At 47.1% G+C, this 9,702-nt stretch overlaps 1 long non-coding RNA gene across 1 annotated transcript; it reads right to left on the bottom strand.

The window, feature by feature from the left end:
* Window positions 1-1,795: 1,795 nt before the first annotated feature.
* LOC124902448 (uncharacterized) lies at window positions 1,796-3,404 on the bottom strand. The gene is made up of 2 exons (XR_007062187.1): window positions 3,232-3,404; window positions 1,796-2,255 (listed from the first exon to the last, which is right to left on the bottom strand). It is a non-coding gene; the product is annotated as an uncharacterized LOC124902448 (long non-coding RNA).
* Between the last annotated feature and the right edge of the window lie 6,298 nt (window positions 3,405-9,702).

Below are 9,702 nucleotides of genomic sequence, written 5' to 3'. Positions count from 1 at the left end.
ACACACACTCACAGGAGGACTGGTCAGGGTTCCCTGCACATGACCCTCATATTTTGTAGGGGAAACTGGGATTCATTTCGGATCATCCACTCTTTCCTCCCTCCTAAGACCATGTTCCTCATATTCCGCCACCTCAGACGAGGTGGGGCTCAGTCTTTGTTCAAGCCGTATTGCTTCAGCCTCATAACTTCAAGACCTTGAGCAAGTTACTTTACACCTCCAAGCCCTGGTTTCCTCATCTGCAAAGTGGGAATAATAAAATAATCTAGTTTGCAGAGTTGCTGAGAGATTGTTTTATTTTTGTTTAGTTTCTGTTTTGTTTTGCTTTTTTTGAGAAGGAGTCCCGCTCTGTTGCACAGGCTGGAATACAATGACGCAATCTCGGCTCACTGCAACCTCTGCCTCCCGGGTTCAAGTGATTCTCCTGCCTCAGCCTCCCGAGTAGCTGGGATTACAGGTGAGCACCACCAGGTTGGGCTAATTTTTGTATTTTAGTAGAGACGGGGTTTCACCATGTTGGCCAGGCTGAACTCCTGACCTTAGGTGATCCGCCCACCTCAGCCTCCCAAAGTGCTGGGATTACAGACGTGAGCCACCACGCCTGGCCAAGATTGTTTTACGTCAACAGCGAAACAGTATCTGGTACAGAGTAGGTGTTAAACAAATAATTGCTATTGTTATTTTGTTATTATCTGGTCCTCACCTCTATCCTCAAAAATAGCTCCAGTTGACTCAGTTATTCCTCTTTTATAAATCACTACCAAAACCAACACTTATCAAAACACCACTCTGTATCCCATAAATATATACAATTATTATATGTCAATTGAAAATAAAAGGGAAAAAAACCAATACAAACAAATAAAAAACACCCAGGTGTGTTTCAGCATCTCTCGTCTCCTTGGGGCACTAACTCCTTGCCACACTTCACCTGCATGAGAGCTGAGTAAGCTTCTGGAGCTTTGGAGAAAGTCTGGGGTCAGGAAATTGGGAGATGTTACTGGCACCTGAGAGGGGGAAGCTGTGAGTGGGGACAGGAGAGACTGCCCAGCTGCAGCTCAAGTCCAGAGTGGTTCAAAGGGCATGGCTGGGGGACAGAAAGCGTATACTCCCTTGCCTCCTGTACTAGTGCAGGAACTGTGAAATAGGCATTCAAATATGCAACTGGCAGGAATGTCATTTGTACAACCATTTCAGAACATTGGTTGGTAGGCTGGGATAGTGGCTCAGGCCTGTAATCTCAGTACTTTGGGAGGTTCAGGTGGGAGGACTGCTTGAGCCCAGGAGTTAGAGACCAGCCTGGGCAACATAGGGAGACCCCATGTCTATTATTTTTTAAAAACAAAAACAACAACAAAAAGAACATTAGTTGGCAGCATGAATTGAGAGATACTAAAATGTAGATTTTTGTTGTTGTTGTTTTGAGACAGAGTCTCACTGTGTCGCCCAGGGTGGAGTGCAGTGGCGCGATCTCGGCTCATTGCAGCCTCTGCCTCCTGGGTTTAAGTGATTCTCATGTCTCAGCTTCCCAAGTAGCTGGGATTACAGGCATTTACCATCACACCGGGCTAATTTTTGTATTATTAGTAGAGACGGGGTTTCACCATGTTGGCCATGCTGGTCTCGAACTCCTGACTTCAGGTGATCCACCCGCCTTGGCCTCCCAAAGTGCTGGGATCACAGGCGTGAGCCACCACACCCAGCCTAGATATTCTTTGATGCTAAAATTCTGTTAACAGAAATGTATCCTAGGAAGATAATAGAGTACGAGAAAAAAAAACCCCAGAGATGCAGATTGAGTTTTTTACATAAAGAGGTTCATGTTATGCTATTTAGAATAACAACAATTTGAAAGTAAATCTAATGCCCCAAATTAATGAGTAGTGGCACGACGTGTGACACCTCTGATTTAGCGAGGATTAGATTCACTCTTGAGTAATAGAGCACCCAAAATTACAGCAACATTATGAAACACAAACTTCACACACATTCCAGAGATAGGCTGTCCAAGGCTAGCGTGGTGCCTCCATAATTATCAAGGACTCAGGAGACGTCTATCCAGTTCTGCTGTCCTCAGTGAGTGGCTTTTACCCCACACTCCAATATGGCGGCTTGAGTCTTGCCATTATGTCTGCATTTGAGCTGTCATGAGGTGGAAGAAGCAAAAAAGAGTACCACTCTCCCTTTATGAAATCGCACCTAACGCTTCCACTTACTTTCCATTGGTTGGACATTAGTCACATAGGTACACCTAGCTGTAAGAGATGCCAGGAAAGACGATAAGACAATAAAGAAACACCTTTCTTTTTCTTCTTCTTTTTTTTTTTTTTTTTGAGACAGGTTCTCGCTTTGTCGTCCAGGCTGGAGTGAGATGATACAATCATGACTCACTGCAGCCTCCACCTCCTGGGCTCAAGTGATCCTGCCACCTTAGCCTCCCAAAGTGCTGGGATTACAGGCATGAGCCACCGCACCCAACCTAGACAGCTGACGCTGACCCAGAGCCCCAAGAGGTCAGGTCTCTGGCACCTTACAGCATTGGGGTTTCGGTCCATTTTTGTACCACAAATAGGTCTAAAATGATTTTGAGTGTGACTGTGTCTTTTATTTTCTGATAGACGGGGTGCTTTTAAATTTTCCCTTTTAGAGGCAGAGGTTGCAGTGAGCCGAGATCACACCGCTGCACTCCAGCCTGGGCCACAGAGTCAGACTCTGTCTCAAAAAACATACGTTAAAAAAATTAAAAAAATAAATTTTCCCTTTTAATGTTTTGCCCGTTTATTGCTGTTTCTGGGACCACAGGGCCTCAAAGCATGGATGTGAAACTAACCTGACTGGAAGCCCTCCCCACCTCCCTTGACTGCATTTTATAGATGGTAAAACAGATTCAGAGAGGCAAGAGGGCTTGGCTGCGGGGCTGCCCGAACCCAGTCGTAAAATGACTCACAGGACTATTGACACCTAGACTTTAAAACTTTCCAGCGATTTTCCTCCCATTTGAGATAAGGGGAATCATATAACAGTTCAACATTTCTCTCTCTCTCTCTCTTTTTTTGTTTTTTTCAATTAGGCTGGGAGGCTCCATGGGGGAGGTTATGGGCAAAGACGAAGATTTAAGAAAATGAAGATGGAATCTGTGTGCGCTGGGGCTGGGAAGACTGAGGGGTAGGAATCAACACACACATGCACACAGGCACACACACACCTGTATGCACATACATGAGTGCTTACCCGTGCCCTTTTGCCAGTTCCCACTCGGCTTGTTTGTATCAGACCCAAGGAGGCAGGATAGGTCAGCAGTCACATCTTCCAGATCAAGGTCTACTGTGGCATCATAAGGATTAATTTTTTTTAATTTTAATTTTTTTTTTTTGCGATGGGATCTTGCTCTGTTGCCCAGGCTGGAGTGCAGTGGCACGATCTCAGCTCACTGCAACCTCTGCCTCCCAGGTTCAAGCAATTCTCCTTACAGGCACTTGCCACCATGCCTGGCTAAGTTTTATATTTTTAGTAGAGACGGGGTTTCACCATGTTGACCAGACTGGTCTCGAACTCCTGACCTCCTGATCTGCCCATCTTGGACTCCCAAAGTGCTGGGATTACAGGCGTGAGCCACTGCGCCTGGCCGTCATAAGGATTAATTAGGATATTGCCTATAATTGCCTGGCCCAGGAGAGGTGAGATGTGCATGTCTTCCTCCCCAGTCCTCACCGTGGCTGCTTGGTCACTGGCTTGCCTGCTTGGTTTCTCTTTGAGGCTCCTCTGAGTAGGATTGGCCAGCATCCATGGGCCACTCCCTTCCTGAATGTACTGGGACCCAGTCTGCAATGAAGTCATTGTTTGAAGCATCTGCTCTTTGTTTGGTAAATCTTCCCACAGGGGGCTGGAAGCCCACAGCTCCCCTCTGCCAGGCCTCGGCTGGAGGCAGGGTCCACAGTCTTGCCTTGGCATCCTTGTGATTTATGTCCATGTGGGTCTCGCCAGGCGGAGGGATAAGGGTCATAGGATATCGGCTATTCCACAGACCAAGGCAAGTCGCTTTCTATCTGCTCAGTCGTAAGGAAGGCAAGTCATTGGGGATCTCTGCACATAGACAAGATGAGGGAATGTTTCTCCCAGAACAAAGGAAAGAAGGGGAGGCACTTGAGAGAAAATCAGAGCAATAAGATGTCAAGGAAACTGTAGACTCAGAGCCAAGAGATGCCACCAAGCGCTCCTGCCCCAGAGCTCAGCCAGGCCAGGCCACGTGGAGACGGCTCCTGCAAAGCTGCAGAGGGGCTAAGACCAGGATGTGGAAAGGGAACAGGAATTAGATGAGGTTGAAGCAGCTGGAGCTTAGCAAGTACTTAACTGAGAGCTGGATGTTTCTGCTTATTTCTACTTTTATGTTATTTATTTTTTTTAGAGTCCACGTCCTGCTGAAAGTGCTTATTTTTATAATGTGCTCTCGTAGAAGATTCTCCATAACTGGCCTTGATGGTGTGAACCATGGCTCTTCTGGGATACCCTGGGTGCTTTTAAACAACAGCTGCCAAAGAAACCCCACTCCAAACCAACCAAATCAGTCTCTGAGGACCGGGGGTGGGGTGGTGGTTCTCAAAGTTGGACCCGGGGACCAGCAGCATCAGCATCACCAGGGCACCTGTTAAAGTGCAAACTCTCAGGCCCCACCCTGACAACAGAATCCAAAGCTGTTAGGGTGGGGTCCAGAGATCTGTGTTTTAACAAGGCCTTCAGGAGCAGGGCGTCGCATACCCAGGAAAGTGTGAGAACTAGTGGGAGATTTTAACTTGTGTCCGGTGCTGAAAACCACTGGGTTTGTTTAGTATTGAGTTTGGGGACTCTTTCTTCCCTGTAGAGGGCCAGAGTTCAGAATGAGGAAAGCTGGTCTCTCTCTACTCCCTGTAGGGGAATGGGTATAATGACTTTACCATTCATTGAATCTCTTCTACATACATAAGTGAGAATAAGGAAAATCGATCGCCACAATTAATGTCCCTGACCACTGTTCTATCTCCAACACCAGTAACAGAAGAGATCCACCCCACCCCCGCGCAGGGCAGCCTTGCTAACTCTCCTGAAATGCTGAGACGTCCAGGACCCCGTCCCATAGCTGCGTCATGGCTAGCTTCTCTTAAACCAAGTTCACACCCTGCAAACACAAAGCCTTTTTCTTAGGTTTTGGCACCTCCTTCGCAACCCTGATCCTGAAGGAATTAATTTCTCATTTGGAGTAGTGGAGTTGTTGTGGGAAGTGGGTGGAGTGGGAACTTCTAGGAATCACAACTTCTTTCATGCACTTCTTTCTCTCATTTTCAACCTGATGCTCCCGTCAGCCCTTCCGACATGCTCGTCAGCCACAGTCACTCTGCTTTGTCTGGGGTCATGAGACATCCGCAGGCAGAGGGGCTACAGTATCCCTACAGGCCAGACCAACAGGAGGAGGGACTCTAGCTGAAGCTCCATGACCCTTCTGCCCTCCAGTCTGGGAGGAGGGGGCGTGTGTATGTGTGCGCGCGTGCGCGTGTGTGTGTAACAACTACAAGGTGTCCCAAATCCTGTTCTCCCATATCTGGAAAATCTGTGACCTACATAAAGCCAGTTCCTGCCTAGTGAGGAACAACAGGAAAGGATAGAAACCAAGGGCAGGTGGTCGCTTCTGGAGGCTGCTGCTGGCTTCAATGGGCATGCCTCTGTCTGGCCCATAATCTTGATTTCTGAACACATGGGTCTCAGCTCACCTGCCAGATGCGCCCCGGTTCCCACTTGGTTATTCACCATCCTCCTCTTTCCTGTCTGTCTCTTTGCCTCTATGGGTCCTTGCTGGCAACCCCACAGGGTTTCTCCTTGGCTTCTTCTAAGTCTGCTGGGCAAAGGAAGATGTCTTGGATTTATTAAATCAGCCCCATATTGGGGCCAGATGTTCCACAGCAAATGAGGTGGTCAGGACTGAAGTCAAGAAACTAAGTGAGGAAACAAGGAGGCCCCAGTGATGAACGATGGTCTCTCCTCAGCCCTTACTGAAAAATCTCCTTTCTGTCCTATTTTGCTCTCGGTATGAGCTCTGCTCTTCCTCTCCTCCCAAATCAAACATTTGGTGATGCATTTCTGCAAACTTCCACGTCTCGCTCTGGGGCCAGGAGACTGGTGTTTGCTGGGCTGTTTCTTCCAAGCCTTCTCTGCAGAAAAGGGCACGGAGGAGAAAACACGGGAGTTCTGGCAAGTGTGGGCTGAAGGCCTCACAGTAAGTCTGAGAGCGAGCGCCAACCTGGCAGGGAAGAGCTGGTGGGGACAGCTCTCGGGGACTCTGGGTGGCCAGAGGATATGGGCAGAGGCCAAGGCTTCTCACCTTCCTAATTGCAAAGGTTATATTAATAATTATAACAGTAATTAGTCATGGTGATAACAGTAACAGTAATGGATAACTGTGGGGTACTGTGCCAGGGGGAGCACACGGGTTGTATCATCTCACTTAGAGCCTTCCAACACCCACCCAGCCAGCGTCTTGGCTTTATTATTATTCTCTCCATCTTGTACCTGAAGACTGCGGCTCAGAGAGGTCTCAGCTAACCCATGATGGAATTGGGATTTGAACTCAGGCAGCCTAACTCTGAAGCCCAAGCTCTTAACTGCTATGTGATGACACAAGGAATACGTGTTTGTTAAAGAAATTGTTAACAATTCAGATAAAGAGAGGGAAAACCATAAAATACTCACCATCTACTGTCAACACTTTGGTTTCTTTCTTTTTTTTTTTTTTTTGAGACAGAACCTCGCTCTGTCACCCAGGCTGGAGTGCAGTGGCGCCATCTCGGCTCACTGCAAGCTCCGCCTCCCAGGTTCACGCCATTCTCCTGCCTCAGCCTCCTGAGTAGCTGGGACTACAGGCACCCACCACCACGCCTGGCTATTTTTTTTTTTTTTTGTATTTTTAGTAGAGACGGAGTTTCACCGTGTTAGCCAGGATGGTCTCGATCTCCTGACCTCGTGATCTGCCTGCCTCGGCCTCCCAAAGTGCTGGGATTACAGGCGTGAGCCACCGCGCCCGGCCTTGTCTTTGTGTTTTAACTAGCATTTCATGTTTTTATCTCTCTCTGCTGCATTCTGGGTAGTTTATGCCATGATAATTTATTCAGCTCTCTCTTTTAGATTTATTGTTTTCTTTTTAGTTGTGTTTAATCTACATTTTTTTTTTTTTTGAGACGGAGTCTCGCTCTGTCCCCCAGGCTGGAGTGCAGTGGCGCCATCTTGGCTCACTGCAAGCTCAGCCTCCCAGGTTCACCCCATTCTCCTGCCTCAGTCTCCCGAGTAGCTGGGACTACAGGTGCCCGCCACCATGCCTGGCAAATTTTTATTTATTTTTATTTATTTTTATTTTTAGTAGAGACGGGGTTTCACAGTGTTAGCCGGGATGGTCTCGATCTCCTGACCTCGTGATCCGACCGCCTCGGCCTCCCAAAGTGCTGGGATTACAGGCGTGAGCCACTGCGCCCGGCCGTCAACACTTTGGTTTCTATCTTTCCAATCATTTATCTGTGCAGATATATTCATATTAGAGATAATACTTCATTTCACAAAAATGAGGTCATATGGCGCTTGTTGTTTTACAGCCCACTTTTGTCATCTAATGTATCCTAAACATTTTTGTCATGAAAAAACCTGCATGATCATTTTAATGGCTGCAGAGAATCCATCATATGTGTAACCATACTGATGTAACCAGCCCCCTGTCATTCAGCAATTGAGTGGTTTTCCAGTTTTTTACTATTATAAACAACATTTAATGTTTAATAACATTAAATATTAGCATTCAGCCACAGTTAATTCCTTAGGATAAGTTCCTGTAACTGGGCCAGGTGCGGTGGCTCACGCCTGTAATCCCAGCACTTTGGGAGGCCGAGGTGGGTGGATCACTTGAGGCCAGGAGTTAGAGACCAGCCTGGCCAACACAGTAAAACTCTGTCTCTACCAAAACAAACAAACAAACAAACAAACAAACAAAATACAAAAATTAGCAGGGCGTGGTGGCATGTGCCTGTAGTCCCACCTATTCGGGAGGCTGAGGCAGGAGAATAGCTTGAACCCAGGAAGCAGAGGGTGCAGTGAGCTGAGATCGCCCCACTGGACTCCAGCCTGGGTGACACAGCGAGACCCTGTCTCAAAAATAAAATAAAATAAATTCCTGTAACTGGATTTGCTGGATGAAAGGGTAGGAAACATGTTAAGATGTTTGATACACGTCACCAAACTGCCCTTCAGAAGTCTCCCATCAAAAGAATGAATGTTTCCCCACACCTTCACCAGCACTGGGTTTTGCTTTTTTTTTGTTTGTTTTTGAGACGGAGTCTCACTCTGTTGCTCAGGCTGGAGTGCAGTGGCATGATCTTGGCTCCCAAAGTGCTGGGATTACAGACGTGAGCCACTTCGCCCAGCCAGGTTTTGCTATTTTTTAAAAAAAAAATATTGCCAGTGTAAGAGGTCACTGTTATTTGGGTTTGCCTTTCTTTGATCTCCACTGGGTCTGAGCTTTATTCCTGTGTTTATTTTGGGCTTGCATCTAGAATGGAACAGGAGACTTTGTCTAGGAGCTCTTCATGTGGTGTTTCCCTGCCTTTGCACAGCATCACTGGCATCAAAAGCCAAGTTCTTTTATTTTATTTTATTTTTTTTTTATTTTGAGACAGAGTCTCACTCTGTCCCCCAGGCTGGAGTGCAGTGGTGCCATCTCGGCTCACTGCAACCTCCGTCTCCTGGGTTCAAGCAATTCTCCCTGCCTCAGCCTCCCAAGTAGCTGGGATTACAGGCACCTGCCACCATGCCCAGCTAATTTTTGTGATTTTTAGTAGAGAAGGGGTTTCGCCATGTTGGCCGGGCTGGTCTTGAACTCCTGACCTCAGGTGATCTGTCTGCTTTGGCCTCCCAAAGAGCCGAGATTACAGGCGTGAGCCACTGTGTCCAGCTGCAATCTTGTCATTTTTGAAACAGACCCAATTATCCCATAGAACTGACATTTATGGCTACTTTGGAATAAATATTGAAATGAAACCTCCCAGTCTTGAAACTTGGCAAAGTTACATTTGTCTTATCTGAGTTCATTTCTCAGGAAACCAACCATCAGGCCTCCCTGATTGAAACTCACTGGATCTGGACAATGAGATGCCAGACCTCTCACCCTTCATGATTTCCTAAGCCAACGCCTGCCTGTTGTTGACCAACTCCTCTTCCTTACCCCTCCCTAATTCCTGTTTTCCTAGATGTAGTTACATTTCTTCCTTGCTATATAAACCCCTAAGTTTAATTGGTCAGGGAGACAGAGTTGGGACTGATCTCCTTGGATGCGGTACCCAGTTGAAGCCTTCTTCCCCGGCAATCCTCATTGTCTTAGTGATTGGCTTTCTGTGTTGTAAGCAGCAGGACCTAGCCCGAACCCCTGTGGTTTCAGTAACAATTTCTTGAAAGAAAAACCATTAGAACTTCCTGTTTTACCCTCTTCTACCTCCGGCCAGGCTCTTAGCATAGCAGTAATCATTTCTGAGCGCTTACTATGCGCCAATTTTCATGCATTAACTTAATACTTACAACAACCTCATGAGGTAGATACCAGCTTTATCCCCATTTCACAGATGAGGAAACTGCAGCAAAGACAGGCTGGGTACTTTGCCCTAGGCCACACAGCCATGAAATGGGCAGAGCCAGGACTTG

The sequence above is a fragment of the Homo sapiens genome, chromosome 10 (genome assembly GCF_000001405.40).
Source record: "Homo sapiens chromosome 10, GRCh38.p14 Primary Assembly".
NCBI lineage: Eukaryota > Metazoa > Chordata > Mammalia > Primates > Hominidae > Homo > Homo sapiens.
This window is presented reverse-complemented; position numbering and strand designations above follow the sequence as displayed.